The 17,474-nt window shown below is 43.2% G+C and overlaps 1 protein-coding gene and 1 long non-coding RNA gene across 10 annotated transcripts in view, besides 2 other annotated features; one reads left to right on the top strand and one right to left on the bottom strand.

Moving 5' to 3' along the window:
• Positions 1-3,003: 3,003 nt before the first annotated feature.
• The window catches only part of LOC105372316 (uncharacterized), a 98,054-nt gene continuing 83,583 nt past the window's right edge, over positions 3,004-17,474 (bottom strand). Inside the window, exon 3 of the long non-coding RNA XR_936408.3 lies at positions 3,004-4,160. This is a non-coding gene — a long non-coding RNA (uncharacterized LOC105372316). The remainder of the gene's footprint in view (positions 4,161-17,474) is intronic.
• ZNF737 (zinc finger protein 737) overlaps positions 8,318-17,474 on the top strand; it is a 35,506-nt gene continuing 26,349 nt past the window's right edge. For all 9 annotated transcript variants that reach the window (XM_006722597.5, XM_005259697.5, XM_047438008.1 and 6 more), the window contains exon 1: positions 8,318-8,461. In XM_006722597.5, the coding sequence (XP_006722660.1) occupies positions 8,459-8,461 (3 nt within the window). In that variant the 5' untranslated portion in view covers positions 8,318-8,458. The remainder of the gene's footprint in view (positions 8,462-17,474) is intronic.
• Positions 8,466-8,515: an enhancer, noted in NCBI's record as "active region_14380". NCBI's record gives its function as "activates an Ori minimal core promoter by ATAC-STARR-seq in GM12878 lymphoblastoid cells {active_cell/tissue: GM12878}" and the evidence as "EXISTENCE:reporter gene assay evidence [ECO:0000049][PMID:35858748]".
• Positions 8,726-8,885: an enhancer, noted in NCBI's record as "active region_14379". NCBI's record gives its function as "activates an Ori minimal core promoter by ATAC-STARR-seq in GM12878 lymphoblastoid cells {active_cell/tissue: GM12878}" and the evidence as "EXISTENCE:reporter gene assay evidence [ECO:0000049][PMID:35858748]".

Genomic DNA, 17,474 nt, shown 5'->3' with positions numbered 1-17,474 from the left:
ACTTCAATACTCTACTGACAGCACTAGACAAGTCATCAAGACAAAGTCAACAATAAAAACAAAAAAACACGGTGGCCTTAAACTATACTCTAGAACAAATGGACTTGACAAATATTTACAGAACATTCTACCCAACACCTGCAGAATATACAATTTATTCATCAGCACATGGAACATTCTCCAAGATAGACACATGATAGGCCACAAAACAAGTCACAATAAATTTAAGACAATGCAAATTATATCAACTACTCTCAGACTGCAGTGGAATAAAATTGAAAATCAACTCTAAATGAACTATCAAAACCATGCAAATATATGAAAATTAAATACATTTTAGAAATTAAATAAATACAAGGAAATTAAACAAAAAATTAAATTTATGATCAATCTGTTTCTGAATGATCATTGGATGAAATCAAGATTAAAATTTAAAAATTCTTTGAACTGAACATTAATAATGGCACAACCGATCAAAATGTCTGGGATACAGTAGAAGTGGTGCTGAAAGGAAAGTTCATAGCATCAAATTCCTCTGTGAAAAAGTCTGAAAGAGCATAAGCTGACAATGTAAGATAACACCTCAAGGAACTAGAGAAACAAGAAAACCCAAACCCAGCAGAAGAAAAGAAATAACAAAGATCAGAGCAGAGCTAAATGAAACTGAAACAACAACAACAACAAAAAATCCAAATGATAAATGCAATGAAAAGCTGGCTCTTAGAAAAGATACACAAAATTGATAGACCATTAACAGCATTAACCAAGAAGAGATAAGATCCAAATAAGCTCAATTAGAAATGAAACAGAAGATATTGCAACCAATGCCAGAGAAATACAAAAGATCATTCAGGGCTACTGTGAACACCTTTATGTGCACAAATTAGAAAACCTAAAGGAGATGAATAAATTCCTGGAAATGTACAACCCTCCTAGGTTAAAAAACAACAACTCTGAACAGACTAATAACAAGAAGTGAGATTGAAATAATTTCAAAAAATTGCCAACCAAAAAAAATGTTCAGAACCAGGTGGATTCACAGCTGAATTCTATTAGCCTTTCAAAGAAAAATTGGTGGTGGCAGGGCCAAGATGGCTGACTAGAAGCAGCATCCCATAGAAAAGAACCATAATAGTATGTGAATCCTGCACCATAACCTGAGGTATCCAGGTCCTCTCATCAGAACTGACTAGGTGGATGGCGTGATCCATGGAGAGGAAGAGCAGTGTGGTGTGGCAGCCCACCTGACACCCACATGGGCCTGGGGAGCCCTTGCCCAATAGCCAAGGGAGGCGGTGAGTGAGCCTGCTACCCATCCTGGGAAACTGTGCTTTTTCCATGGAACTATGCAACCCACAGATTAGAAGATTCCACTCATGAACCCACGCCACTGGAGCCTAAGGTCCCAACTGTTGGAAACAAGAGCTCAGAGTCGCAAAGAAAACAAGGAATTTCTCAGCAAGGCAAGGCAAGGCAAATTTACTTCTGCAGAAGGGTGCCAGTCATGTCTCTGGCTGTTGTGAGAGCACAGCATACAAGGGAGGGAAGGAGTTTTTATCCCTAACACAGTCCCTACTTCTGCGTGCTGCCCCCATTGGCTGGAGCTAACTCGACGGCTATTTTAAATCGAGACTGGCAGGAAGGTTGTTTACAGAGCAGGTAACTAGGAGTGAGGAGGACTTCTTCCAAATAAGGAAGAGATGTGGATTACGGATTGCGACTGGGGAGAAGAGATGTTTACATAGCAGGTAGCTAGGAGCGGGAAGGTATAAGGAAGTTGATTTTGAGAACAAACAACAAGGAAGTTACCCTTTGAAGAGGAACTTATTATGCCTGACACAGCCCTGGAGCTGAGCAGATTATGAACAGCCTGTCAGGTAGAATCTGCTTAAGCCTGCCGAGTTCCCACGGTGGGGGAGACCAGCACCACCGTTGCAGTTGGCTGCTGTCTAAGCTGTTTGAGCTCCTTGAGGGAGGGACAGCAGCCAGCACTGGGACTCGAAACTGCCTAACAGGCTAAGGTCCCTGGATGGGGAAAGGGAAGCAGCCATCTCTATAGCTCCTGGCCTCACTTTTCCTCTGCTAGATCCAGGAAAACTGGACAGCTTGGTCTCAAGAGGTGTCCCCCACAGCCCAACACATGGGCTGTGGCAGACTGTGGCCAGAATGTCTCTTCAGGCCTGACCCTGACCCATCTCTCCTCACTGGTCAGGGCCTCCCTGCAGGAACTCCAACATCTCCAGCCAGGGGCTCAGGGACATAACTCTGATCTCCCTGGGCCTGAGCCCCTAGGGGGAGGGGAGGCTGCAGTCTCTGTGGACCAGCAGACTTAGCCTTTCCTCCTGCTAGTTCTGAGGAATTCGAGCAGCCCAGATGAGTGGGTTTCCCCCCAGCAAAACACCCCCCTCCACCAAGGAACAGTCAAAGTGCTTCATTAAATGGGTTCTGCTCCCCATGCCACCCAACTGGTGACACTTCAACAGGGGTTGTCAGACACCCTATACAGGAGTGATCCTACTGGCATCAGGTTGGTGCCTCTTGAGGTCAGAGATCACAGAGGAAGGAGCAGACTCTTCTTTGCTGTTCTCCAACCTCCTTGAGTGACATCTCCAGGCACGGGAGTGAACCGGATGAATAGGGCCTGAAGTGAACCCCCAGCAAACTGCAGCAGCCCTACAGAAGACAGACCTGACCATTGAAAGAAAAACAAACAGAAAGGAACAACAGCATCAACAACAAAAAAGTAACCACAAAAACCCCATCCAAGGCCAGGCATGGTGGCTCACACCTGTAAAAAGGTTAACCTGTTTTTGTGATTGGCTATTGTTTTTCAATAACTAATGTATAGGAATAGATTGAAGTAGAAATTTCTCTGAAACAGCGCCGGATGAATGCCTAAAGGGGCTCACATAATCTGTTCTGAGACTTGGTGACCATTGTTTGTGTCCACATTCAATTGAGTTCAAATTTAATATTTAACTTTTCCACTACATTCGGCCTCAATTGGATACTCAATTGTATTAAAATACCCTCACAGATACATCGGGAAGGTATAGTTGATATAGATTACAGATACAGGGTAAGCACAGGAGAATTAGAAGCACAATTAATAAAAATTAGACCCAACATGGCATTGCAAACAGAGTAATATTGTGAGACTTGCCAGGAATATACACACAACATCCAGTATGCAGTAAGGCGCAAACCCCTCCTTGGGCTGTGGTAAGCATATCTAATGCCATTTGATTTTGCAACACAACAGTATGCAGCTGAGCAAATTCATCTGGTAACAACATAAGTCGAGTGCTACTAGCATTAAGAGCATTTTCTACAGGTAAGCTAAGTATTATAATTTGTTGGTGAAGCAAGATTGTACCAGTGGCAGGGGAGAATACTGTGATAGGGTACCACCACCAGGGAGTCCAGCACATTTGTAACTAGCAATGTTTCTAAGCATCTAGATTACTGGAGAGGGGAGTATTTTCCCGGATAGTGAATGGAATTAATGTCCACCCCCAAGTGCATCTCCCCATCCAAAGTAGGGGCACGTATCGCCACCCATAGGATCTGCATACCCAGAGGGCCCCCCAGGGGACAGCAATGGAGCTACTGTAATCATAGTGTACTAATCTCTTATTAACATAGGAAAGAGATTGTGTTTCATTGGGCATAATGTTGTTGATTTGGAGTATGTGTTGACACGTGACTGGAGAAACCCCAGAGTAACATTAGAGGATCCATTTAAGGCCTCCAGACAAAGCAGAGGTTGTATGGAATCCAGCCACCAGCACAGCAGGTTTGTAGTATATACCATTCCAGGAATATTGGGCAGAATACCAAGGCTTTTGATGCAAGGTGAGGGAGGAGTTCGCCTTTTGTCTGACTTGGCAAAGATAGATCGCTTAGTGTGGTCAAAGGAAGCCCAGGTTGGATTGCAAGTGTTGTTGTTGTGGCCCATTGGTAACAATATAGCCATTCAGAAATGTTGTCAGGGATGATTCTCCAAGGTAGCCATTTTTGGCATCCTCCTGCAACTCGACGTATAGCCAACATTGATTGTGGTTGGCTTCTGTTGCAGCGGTGGCTAAAAAGTTGATGAATTTATTCTTGGCCTCAGACACAAAGACACAGGTGCTGACCATTAGTAGATAGGTTATTCCCTGTAATAACAAAAACAGAGGGGAAATGATATTGTTTTTCATCTTTAGGAAATTGTACTATGCCTTCCTTTTCTGCTTTCATAGCTACAAGGTCACTAGCCTTAGGGTTGGGATCTGAGGGACGCCGTACCCATATTTTGACTCCAGGATTTAAGCTACCTGTACCAGGGGATCTGAATCCCCCAGTTCTGTATGTAGACTCTGTTGGACAAAGATTTCCTCAGGGGTTAATTGTTCACAAGGTACCACTAACAATTGAGCAACAAGCATCTGTGGTTTTATAGCAAAAGAATCTGGAGTGTTATTGTATAAAATGACCTTTAACTCTCCCTGGTAATCCCTATCAGTTATACCACCATACACTATAATGCCTCTCATTGCAAGGCTTGAACATGTTGTAATCCATTTACCCACATTCAAGATCGCAGTTATGGTGGAAATTTTTGCCTGTTGATCTTCCTGCTGATTAAATAGTCTGTCAAGAGAAAGCAGAGATGCATGAACATCAACATGGAAAACAGGGCCGGGCACAGTGGTTCATGCCTGTAATCCCAGCACTTTGGGAGGCAGAGGTGGGTGGATCATGAGGTCAAGAGATTGAGACCATCCTGGCCAACATGATGAACCCCGTCTTTACTAAAAATACAAAAATTAGCTGGGCATGGTGGTGCGCACCTGTATTCCCAGCTACTCGGGAGGCTGAGTCAGGAGAATCACTTGAACGTGGGACGTGGATGTTGCGGTGAGCCCAGATCACGCCACTGCACTCCATTCTAGCGACAGAGTGAGACTGAGTCTAAAAAAAAAAAAAAATTAGCTGGGCGTGGCAGCCCGTGCCTGTAATCCCAGCTACTTGGTAGGCTGAGGCAGGAGAATGGCATGAACTCGGGCGGTAGAGGTTGTAGTGAGCTGAGATTGCACCACTGCACTTCAGTTTGGTGACAGGGCTAGGAAAAAACCAACAACAACAACAAACAATATGGAACACAGTGGTATGTGTTGTGCACCAGGATTCAGATACCTTACCAGCATTGTTCTCGCCAAACCTCTTTATTCCCAATTAGCCATTTGTTTCATTGCCACTGGGGCATCCATGTGGTAAGACCATTTGCTACTGAGCAAGAGTTCGTATACAAGTGACAAATCCCTCTGGTCTCCTCCTGAATAGCTCAGAGGATGGCTGCCAGTTCAGCTAACTGAATGCTCCCACTCCTTCCTTCATCAGAAATGCTTATGTATTTAAGAGGATTATAAGCCACAGCCTTCCAGCATTGGGTCCCACCAATGTATTTGGTGGGTCCATCAGTAAACCAAGTATGTTTCTGATCCCATTTGATGGGCGGTTGGGGAGGGGGGTGTTTACCTCTCTATCTGCAGGACTCGTTCAGTGTTTCCTGAGCTGGCAAGTTTTGTCCATCCTCATGTGAAAGTGATACCCTCTTTGGTTTTGGCTTAGGCTGGTTTTGTATGTGCCATTTCCATTATATGATGCTACTTTCTTGGGTGTGCCCTATCTGGTGGGTTTTGGGGGAACTCATGTCTCAAGTCATAATAGGAATTTCAGGTCTCATAAAAACATCATGGTTGAAGCATAGGTGTTCTATTTCCAGCAAAGCTCAATAGCAAGCTAACAGTTGCTTCTTGAAAGAGGTATAAGCTTTTCCTCCCTCTGGTGGTTTCTGGGTCCAAATCCCGAAAAGTACCCTCTTCCCATCTTGTTTCTGCCCAAGGCTCCAATTAGCATATTGATCTAGGACAGTTACTTGCAGTTCTACTGGCCCATCCCGTATGGGCCATAGATCCAGGGCCAGTTGCACTGCTTGTTTAGCTTGTTCAAAGGCCATGCTCTCTTTCTCTCCCCAGTGAAAGTCATAGCGTTTTCTAGTGGCTGCATGCAGAGGTTGTAAAATGTTACCCAAGTGGGGAATATGATGTCTCCAGAAACCAAACAAGCCAGTACATTAGTGGTAGGGGTTGCAAAATCTAGTATTTTAGCCTTAGCCTTTGGTAAAATGGACTATTTATTTGCATTCCATAAAATGCCAAGGAATTTTATACTTTGTGCAGGTCCTTGAATTTTACTAGGGTTAATTTCCCATTTTTGAAATAGGAACTGGGTTTTTACCTGCTCGAAGCCCCGGCTGACTAGTTCTTCAGTTTTATCCTGACTGGGCCACCTGGACAGCTGCTTTTTTCAGCGATAGGCTGATAGCTTTGAGCTTTATCAGTCAAGACATTGACTGGCATTGGGCCAGTCTGGAAGTCAGATTAGCATTTTCCTTTTCCGCTTACATTTATCTTGTAGCAACCAGCCCCTATCACGATACATTAACTTATAAGCAGTAAGCAAACACCATCCACTCCGGGAGATCCCTCAGCATCTCCTTTGCTGACTGGAATCCCCCGCAGCACTTCCCGCACAGTCAAAGGTTTAAACTGCACTAATTTAGATTCCCAATTCCCACAAAAACCAGTTCCCCTTGACCATTTAATCACCAAGAGGGAGAACTGGGGGAGTTCCCATCCCAGGATATGGGAAGTCCCTGAGCCCTCCAGCCCTGTCCTTCTAGTCAAAAAGGGGTACACTTTTGTTTTCAAATCCTATTTGTGATGCCAAAAATGTTCTGTGAGGCAAATGTGAGAGGGGAGAAACAAAGACACACACACAATACCATTAAGGGTAAACAACTTTTATCCCACGTAAATGGCAATGCAGACATAATAAAGTAATAATATAATAAGCAAATGATATAATAAGCAAATAAATATAATAAGCAGATTGATGTAATAAGCCAATCTTAATAAGACGAGGAAATGGGAAAAGATATATATATATATATATATATATATATATATATATTTTCCCTCACCAGACTATGGGGGATTCACCACCAGAGAGGGAGGCAACAGCCACAGCTCTAGAGTCAGCCACCCGTCCATCGTACACAGACAAGGAGAGGTCTTATGAAGCTTCAGGGCGGTCTGGGACCTTAGCTCTTTTGTAACGAGTTGTTTGGCATAAGGCCCAGTGATGAGAGCCCTTCACGACTTGCCTCAAGGAACACAAAAAGGTCAACCTTTTTTTGTGATTGTCTATTGTTTTTCAACAACTAATATATAGGAATAGATTGAAATAGAGATTTCTTCAATACAGCGCTGGATGAACACCTCAGGGGCTCACACAACCTGTTCTGGGACTTGGTGACAATTGTTTGTGTCCACATTCAATTGAGTTCAGATTTAATATGTGACTTTTCCTCCACAAATTCCCCTGTCTTGATGAATCGGCTCTGTCTAGGCAAAGGGTAAAATAAACCCCTTGGGCTGTTACACAACCTCCGCCTCCTGGCTTCAAGTGATTCTCCTGCCTCAGCCTCCGGTGTAGCTGGGACTACAGATGTGCACCCCCACACCCAGGTAACTTTTTATATTATTAGTTATTATTATTATTTATTAGTTATTATTAGAGATGGGGTTTCACCATGTTGGCTAGGCTTGTCTTGAACTCCTGACCTCAAGTGATCTGCTCACCTTGGCCTCCCAAAGTGTTGGAATTACCAGCGTGAACTATCCGTGCCTGCCTCTAAATGATTTCTATCTCCTATAGCTGTTGGAAATTAAAGATTGTTTCAAATTGAAAAAATAAAAAGAATGTGGACAAAAATAAAATATAAATAGTTTTTTAAAATTACGAGATATTACAAAATATATATGTAAATCTGGAGTGCTCAAAAATGACAAATTTGATTTATTTATAAGGTTTTATTAAAATTAGCTTTAATAGATTTTACCATTACCAAAGTAAAAGTTGATTTTCTGTTGAACAAAAATTTTATGTATTATTAATGACAGCAAAATACTTCTGTTCACCTTTTTAATACATTCAACAAGAAAGAGAGTAAACAAGAGATAAAATATTCCCATGCTCTGGGGTGGGCCTGGCTCAGCTCAGGGAGGAAGCACTGTTTGAAAAGCCAGCTGCTTAGGCTGGCACTCTTTGTTCACTTAACCCAGCATCTGATCATATCTTCTGTCACTCAGGGCCTGAGGGGGCGGGGATTTAAGCATTATCCAATCAGGGACGCTGGGCTGGAAGCCGTCCAATCAGGCACGCAGCCAGAGTGAAGCGGAAGGCTTCCGGGTTTTGCGGGGCCTTTGTCTCTGCAGCCGGAGCTCCAGGTCTTGTCTTCACTGCTGTGTGTCCTCTGCTCCTAGAGGCCCAGCCTCTGTGGCCCTGTGTCCTGCAGGTATTGGGAGATCCACAGCTAAGACGCCCGGGAGCCCCTGGAAGCCTAGAAATGGTGAGAGTGCCGGTCCGACATCCCGAGAGAGGGGGATAGGCTGGTTGGAACCGGTGGGAAGTGGCTGTGGCGGGACTCAGGCCTCTGCGCAGTCAGCTCCACAATCTGCACCCTGAGTTCTCCTTGCCCAGCTCGGCCTCAGTCCCGTTCAGCCATAATTTGGCGGCTACGCTGACAGCCGGGCCCCCTGGCGTCCTGTGTCTTCCCTGCGTAGTGACTGCTCTGGCCTGGAGCGCTCCGTGGGCAGCTCTGCAACCGCAGCCTCCCGTCTCTCCCAGAATGTGCAGGGACCACCAGAGGGTCGTCAGGGGAGAATCCTGACTCGGGGTGCAGGTTCATGAATGGGAAGAGCTTTGGTCCGTGGAGTTCACAGTTTCTGTTTTCTGCTATTCAAAATTTATGGGGCCGGGCGCAGTCGTTCACGCCTGTAATCCCAGCACTTTGGGAGGCCGAGGCAGGCGGATAACTTGAGGTCAGGACTTCAAGATAAGCCTGGCCCAAATGGGGAAACCCCATGTCTACTAAAAATGCAAAAATTAGCTGGGTGTGATGACAGATGTCTGTAATCACAGCTTCTCGGGAGGCAGAAGTGAGAGAATCGCTTGAACTCCGGAGGTGGATGTTGCAGTGAGCTGAGATCTTGCCACTGCACTCCAGCCTGCGCGACAGTGAGACTCCGTCTCAAAAAAAAAAAAAAAATTCCTGGTTATGTAATTACAGTTTAATTGGCAGTTTATAGTTGCTTAAGCCTGAATTTTGTTTCCCCTAATGTAGTAATTTCCCAAAAAATGCACATGAGCTTAGATTTTTTTTTTTTTGAGGTAGAAATCCAGGGACTAGAGCTTCTTCAGTCTAATTGCCTGCCACTTAATTATTTTCACACGCCACAGCGGACTGATTTTCCCTGGCATTTTCCACATGTGTCTCAAGCAAGGCCTCAAGTGTACCCCATGTTCCTCAATTTATTATTTTTATTTTTTTTTTTTTGAGACGGAGTCTCGCTCTGTCGCCAGAGCTGGAGTGCAGTGTCAGATCTCGGCTCACTGCAACCTCCGCCTCTCAGGTTCAAGCATTCTTCTGCTTCAGCCTCTGGAGTAGTTGGGGCTATGGGCACGCGACACCACGCCCAGCTAATTTTTGTATTTTTAGTAGAGATGGAGTTTCAGTATGTTAGCCAGGAATGCTAGTTACCAAGGAAAAAAATAGGGAAAATCTCTCTTCCATTTTGGCTGTAGACAATGAATATATTTCCACAGGAAAATGTGGTAGATAATTGATGAGTTACATAGATTCGTCAACACATTAGTTCCTCTTTTTGCAGGGGAAATTTGTGACAGTGAATATCTCAGTTCTATATCCTGTTGAGTTCTGAGTTAAATGCTAAATTATATGTGATGAAACATGGTACCTTCTAGAAGTGTTCCCATATGACTAATTTTTTACTACATTATTTTATTTATTTACTTTTTTTTTGAAACAGAGTCTCGCTCTGTCAACAGGTTGGAGTGCAGTGGCGTGATCTCGGCTTACTGCAGCCTCCACCTCCTGGGTTCAAGCAATTCTCCTGCCTCAGCCTCCTGAGTAGCTGGGATTACAGGCACGTGCCACCACACCCAGCTAATTCTTTTGTATTTTAAGTAGAGAGGGGGTTTCAACATGTTGGCCAAAATGGTCGTGATCTTCTGACATCGTGATCTACCTGCCTCGGCCCTCCAAAGTGCTGGGATTACAAGCATGATTTGCCGCACCAGGCCTACTTATTTTTAAGATAAATAATAAAATAATACATATATTTTCTGAAAGAAGTAGATATATTTACTTTTCTTATGGAGGTATCACATGCAAGCACCTTAGCCAGGTGCAGTGGCTCACGCCTGTCATCTCAGCACTTTGGGAGGCCGAGGTGAGTGGATCACTTGAGGTCAGGAGTTTGAGACCAGCCTGCCCAACATGATGAAACCCCATCTCTACTAAAAATACAAAAATTAGCCGGGTGTGGTGGCATACGCCTGTATTCCCAACAACATGGGAGGCTGAGGCACAAGAAGGTCTTGAACCGGGGAGGCAGAGGTTGCAGTGAGCCAAGATCATGCCATTGAACTCCAGCCTGGGCCACAGGGTGACTCCGTCTCAAAAAAAAAAAAAAAAAAAGTAAGCACTTCCTTCTTATGTAAACACTGTGTTTGAGTAATTTCCCTGGATTTTTCTAACACTTAGTTTCAAAAACCAAGTGAATAACTCTGACATGGAAATCAAAGCTTGAACCTAGTGACTCCAAGCTAAGGCTGATATTAAGCCTGCAACAGGATGTTACTAAAGACTCAGTTTTTTTCTGGGGAGCCTCCCCTGCACATGTCCCAGCCTGCTCACCCCAGCCATAGAAGGAGGCTTTATCCTGAGAGAAGCTACAGAGCCCTGGAAAGCTGGGGCCCCACAGGCAGATGCAGCTGAGGTTAAGATGAAAGGAAACTTAGAGGGTCTTATTGATGATGAAGTTGTTATGTTTTGTGGCACTTTCTACACTTTGTAAAATAAAAAATATTAATTTATGTTAAAAAAATGAATTCCAAAAAAAATTGCAACAGCAGAAAATACCAACTAATTTAAGATCTTTATGGCTTGCAAAGATGTAAGCAGAAAAGGGCTTTCTTTTTTAGGGAGGAGCAAACAAGATTAGAAAGGAGGTGGGAGGTGAATGGCAAACGGAGAGTGAAAAAGTCATATTTTAGATCAGAGGATGTCTTACCCTGAAATCAGCATGTTCTTAGGAGGGACATAAAATGGGGTTGTATGCTGACTCAGACTGAGGGTAGCTCAAAGTTCAGGAGCCTGAGGGAGGGAGATAAGCTTAAGAAGAGTTCGATTAAGGGATATTTTATTTTAGGCTAAGTGTGGTGGCTCATGCCTGTAAACCCAGCACTTTGGGAGGCTGAGACAGGCGGATCACCTGAGGTCAGGTGTTCAAGACCAGCCTGGCCAACATGGTGAAATCCTGTCTCTACTAAAATACAAAAATTATTGGGAGGCTGAGGTGGGCAGATCACCTGAGGTCGGGAGTTCGAGACCAGCCTGACCAACATGGAGAAACCCCATCTCTACTACAGAAAAAAAAAAAGAAAAAGAAAAATCAGGTATTGTGGTGCATGCCTGTAATCCCAGCTACTCATGAGGCTGAGGCAGGAGAATGGCTTGATCCTGGGAAATGGCTTGAAAGTTTGTGGTGAGCCGAGATCACACCAGTGCACTCTAGCCTGGGCAACAAGAGTGAAATTCCATTTCAAAAAAAAAAAAAAAAAATTAGCCAGGTGTGTTGGTGGGTGCCTATAATCCCAGCTACTTGGGAGGGTGAGGCAGGAGAATTGCTTGAACCTGGAAGGCAGAGGTTGCAGTGAGCTGAGATTGCTCCACTGCACTCCAGCCTGGGTGACAAAGTGAAGAAATATTTTGAGCGCTGAAGACAAATTCAGCTGATTTTTTTAATGAGAAAAAGGAGAAAATGTGCAGTGTGTGTGTGTGCCTGTGTGATAGATAAGAAAAGAGAGCACTAAGTCATAATGGGAACAGTGTTTCTTTCCATAAACTGTTCCTGGAGCACACAAAAGATGGAGAATTTTATTAATCACAAATATTTTCCAGGATTATCTGTGTGTTTCATCTTTCCCCATCTCTTTTATTCGTTCTGTGCATTTCTTCCATTTGGCTTTTCCTGGGCTGCATCTTATATATTAAACTGTTAAACATCACTGCAGTGGTTTGCTGAGTTCTGTGAGTAGCTCTACCAAATTATTGAACTTCAGGGAGGTTATGGGACTCCCCAGTTTTTAAACAGTAGCTCAGAAGCATAGATAAGCCCATGGGGTTTGTGATTGGCATCTGCAGTGAGGACAGTGTTGTGGGACTGAGCCCTGAATCAGGGTCTGTGTTGACTCTCGGTGGTGTCAGAATTCAAATGTTAGACAATGAGTTGGTGTTGGAGAATTGTTTAATGTTCAGCAAACTCTACAGATTTGGTGCCAGGAAAAAGATATCACAGAAGTCTGGCCTGGAATAAAACTCTAGGTGTTTGGGAATGGGAGCTCTGCTGTCTGGTCACAGGCTGTCACACTGCCCATTGTCCTGTGATTCCAGGTCTTCTCCCAGGGTGACAGAGGACTGAAAACTTAGAAGAAAGGAGCTCTGATGACAGACCCCCTTTTCCCACAGCTGCCACCACAGGATTCCCACCCACTCACAAACACACACACTAGACATTGACATGTCCACCCTCCTCCCAGGAGTAGGCACCACCCTCAGGACCTTCACCACGGCGTTTTTGATCCTAGTGTTTCTTGCCAAGAACCCACAAGTCTCTACAAGTCTCCTGGCGTATCCCCACCCCCAGACACTAAATCTGCAGCAGCAATCTGTTTTCTCCACCAACCTAGCATTTTGAATCAGCTGTTCATAATCTCATATGTCTGCGTGCACACAGTAATAAATCAGAGTACAGCTGCACCAGGACAACTATCTGTAGCAAAAATCAGTCCTCTCACCTACATTGCAATCTCTCCCACCCAGGGATTTAATTTTTTCTTTTAGCTTTTATTTTTGTTTTGGGGTACACATGAGTTTGTTTTGGTGCATGGGGGTTTTGCGTGCAGATTATTTTGTCACTGAGGTATTAAGCATAGCACCAAACAGGTATGTTTTCTGATTCTCTTAGTCTTCCACCCTCCACCCTCAACTAGGCCGCAGCGTCTGTTGTTCTCCTCTTTGTGTTTGTGTGTTCTTATTATTTAGCTGTTACTTATAAATAAAAACATGCATTTGGTTTTCTGTTTCTACAGTATTTTCTTTTTCTTTCTTTCTTTTTTTTTGGAGACGGAGTTTCACTTTTGTTGCCCAGGCTGGAGTGCAATGGTGTGATCTCGGCTCACCACAACCTCCGTCTCCCAGTTTCAAGTGATTCTCCTGCCTCAGCCTCCTGAGTAGCTGGGATTACAGGCACATGGCACCACACCCAGCTAATTCTGTATTTTTAGTAGAGATGGCTTTTCTCCATGTTGGGCAGGCTGGTCTCGAACTCCTGACCTCAAGTGATCAACCTACATTGGCCTCCCAAAGTGGTGGGATTACAGGCATGAGCCACTGCGCCAGGCCTCTGCATTTGTTTTCTAAGAATGATGGTCTCCAGCTTCATTGACGTTATTGCAAAGGACATGATTTTTTTTTTTAATGGCCACAGAGTATTCCATGAGGTTTATATACCATATTTTATTTTGACTAAATCTTTTATTTCATTTTATTTTTGGAGACAGAGTCTCCCTTATTGCCCAGGCTAGAGTGCCATGGCATGATATTGGTTTACTTTAGCCTCAACCTCCCTGGCTCAAGCAATTTTCTCCTACCTCATGTTCCCAAGTAGCTTGGACTACACGCGGGCATTACCACACCTGGCCAATTTTTTTTTTTTTTTTTTTTTTTTTGAGACGGAGTCTCGCTCTGTCGCCCAGGCCGGACTGCGGACTGCAGTGGCGCAATCTCGGCTCACTGCAAGCTCCGCTTCCCGGGTTCACGCCATTCTCCTGCCTCAGCCTCCCGAGTAGCTGGGACTACAGGCGCCCGCCACCGCGCCCGGCTAATTTTTTGTATTTTTAGTAGAGACGGGGTTTCACCTTGTTAGCCAGGATGGTCTCGATCTCCTGACCTCATGATCCACCCGCCTCGGCCTCCCAAAGTGCTGGGATTACAGGCGTGAACCACTGCATCTGACCATACCATATTTTCTTTACCCAGTCTACCACTGATAGGTATTTAGGGCCTGTCCTTATCTTTGCTATTGTGAATAGTGCTGCAGTGAACATGCATGTGGATGTGTCTTTATAATATAATAATTTATGTTTCTTTGGGTATATACCCAATTATGAGATCCCTGGGTCAAATGATAATTCTGTTGTTAGTTCTGTGAGGAACCGCCACACTGCTTTTTACAGTTGTTAAACTATTTACACTCCCACCAGCAGAGTATAAGCATTCCGTTTTCTCTGCAACCTTGCCAGCATCTATTATTTTTTGACTTTTTGAAAATAGCCATTCTGACTGGTGTGAAGTGATATCTCGTTGTTGTTTTTCTTTTAATTTCTCTAGTGATTAGTGATGAGCATTTTTTTCAAGTACTTCTTAGCCACATGTGGTTTTTCTTTTAATTTCTCCCGTGATTAGCGATGAGCATTTTTTTCAGGTACTTAGCCACATGTATATTTTCTTTTGAAAAGCAGTGTTCATCTTTTTTGCCTACTTTTTAATGAGGTCGTTTGGTTTTGTCTTTTAAACTTGTTTAAGTTTCTAATAAATTCTGGATATTAGACCTTTGTCAGAGGCAAAGTTTGCAAAAATTTTCTTTTATTCTGTAGGTTGTCTTTTTCCTCTGTTGATAGTTTCCTTTGCTGTGAAGAAGCGCTTTAGTTTAAATAGGTCCCATTTGTCAATTTTTGCTTCTGTTGCAGTTGCTTTTGGTAGCTTCCTCATGAATTCTTTGCCAGTTTCTGTGTCTAGAATGGTATTTCCTAGGTTTTCATGCAGTGTTTCTTATAATTTTAAGCTTACATTTAAGTGTTTATCTTCAGTTGATTTTTGTATATGCTGTAATGAAGTGAGCTAGTTTCAGTCTTCTACATAGTGCTAGGTAGTTATTCCAGCACCATTTATTAAAGAGAGAATTCTTCCCACATTTCCCTTGTCAGCTTTGTCAAAAATCTGATGGTTATAGGAGGGTGGCATTATTTCTGGGCTCTCTATTCTGTTGCATTGGTCTTCAGCCTGAGTCTCTCTAGCCTGGCTTATCATTGGGCCATCAGCCCAGGGTCACTGGAAATTCCCTCACAATCACCTGGGTGTCTTTGAGGCATTTGAGGATGTTCAGAGCAGAATTGTGTTAGGCTGATAAGAGTGGTTAATTCTGCTTCTGTCTCAGTGTAAGGGAAATGAGTCATCCTGTGTTTTTTCATCCCCTCATACAAGAGGTGTCTTTGGTTGGTACCCAGATGAGAGTTTCTCCAGTTTCCTAGTACTTGGATGGTAAAGAAGGAAAAGATCTGGAGACCCAAATGGATAAACTAGTTGCTTCCATTTTATATGGCCATTAAAAAAAAACTATGCAGCAGTCTTTTTTCCTACAATCCAGAAGCTTTTAGTCTAGACTAGCAACTGGATAAATAATTGAATTGTGCATCATATGGTTGGTGCAATACATAGATGTGTCCAACACCTTGGGCTTTATTTAGGCCACTTTCTTTATATTTTTGAGACTTCTGATGTCTACATCTGAAGGCATATTTATGAACAGAAGAATTGTTATTATAGGTTCTTTTTTTTTTTTGAGACGGAGTCTCTGTCACCCAGGCTGGAGTGCAGTTGTGTGATCTTGGCTCACTGCTGCCCTCTGCTGCCCTGGTTCAAGCGATTCTCCTGCTTCAGGCTCCTGAGTAGCTGGGATTACAGGTGCCAGCCACCATGCCCAGCTAATTTATATATATCTTTTTTTTAATCTTTGTATATTTAGTAGAGATGGGGTTTCACCATCTGGTCAAGCTGGTCTCGAAATCCTGAGGTCGTGATCCACCCACATCATCCTCCCAAAGTGCTGGGATTATGGGCATCAGCCACCACTCCTGGCCATATAATTTCTATTTCTTTTACCTTGCTACATGTACATATTTATTTTCTAATAAAATTACCCTAGAAAAGCTGGGCATGGTTGCTCATGCCTGTAATCCCAGCACTTTGTGGGGCCGAGGCAGGTGGATCACAAGGTCAGGAGTTTGGGACCAGCCTGGCTAATATGGTGAAATGCTGTCTCTACTAATAATACAAAAATTAGCTGGGCGTGGTGGCATGCACCTGTAGTTCCAGCTACTCAGGAGGCTGAGAGAGAAGAATCACTTGAACCCTGGAGGCAGAGGCTGTAGTGAGCAGAGATGGCACCACTGCACACCAGCCTGTGTGACAGAGGGAGACTGCATCTCAAAAAAAAAAAAAAAATTACCCTAGAAAACCTTAAAGGATTTGTTTAAATTGCGTATTAGAATGTAGTACAAAGTTGACAGGGCAGTGGCTAGAAAATACTAAAATTACAGAAACTCTGGGATTTAAGTTTTCTTTTTTTTTTTTTTTAGGTAAGCTTAGAAAAAACAAAACTGGTAGTACTGCAGTGACATAGAGAGCAGAATTTTACATAGGGTCCTCACCCTGAGCCAGACCCAGACCTGTTCAGATTCACCCTTTTTGGAGGCCTTATTTAGGTCTGACCCTATCTTGTAGTCTTGCTTCAGATAACTGATTAGAAGAGATCAAAGTTTTGGCTGGTGAATCCTGCTGCCTTTCTAGAGCTGGTGCTCACAATTTCCTGAAACCACAAACAGATAAATGGGATAAATAAAGTATGTATTTTAGGGTCCTAGTTTTTTAATCTTCTATTAAAACCAGTGCTTGCGGAGACATTTATTTAGAAACTTGTTTTCTATTCCTGCAGATCCAGTAGTTGCTCCATAAGTCACAAAAAAGTAAATATAAACAGAATAAAATTGTCTAAACTACATTAACCTCTTTCTTTCTATCTCTTTCATCTGGCTATATTTAGCTTTTATTCTGTACAATTTTAAAAAATTGATGAGAGAGAAACAGAAGAAGAAATAAAAATGCTGGGCCCTTTAACTAAATCTTGAAAACTATTAAACCCTTAGTACCAGCTCCCCGGGTGTTATGAGAATTAAATCACCTAATGTGTTATACCCAGCACAGTGCTCTGTATCATACTATTGTGCACATAGTACCTGTTTAACAAACAGTGCATTAGTACATGTGTACATGTTGTTTTTTAAAAACAGACTTATTCAGACATTGCTGCCTTGTTTCCTCTGTAAACTTTAAAGAGCCATCAAATAATATAAAACTTTAGGATGGAGATGGGTTGTCCTTGTTTGTATGAGAAGTATTTGGTTGTGACAAGAGTGCTAAGTATAAGGGACTATGTGCT

The sequence above is a fragment of the Homo sapiens genome, chromosome 19, assembly GCF_000001405.40.
Source record: "Homo sapiens chromosome 19, GRCh38.p14 Primary Assembly".
NCBI classification, from domain to species: Eukaryota; Metazoa; Chordata; class Mammalia; order Primates; family Hominidae; genus Homo; species Homo sapiens.
This window is presented reverse-complemented; position numbering and strand designations above follow the sequence as displayed.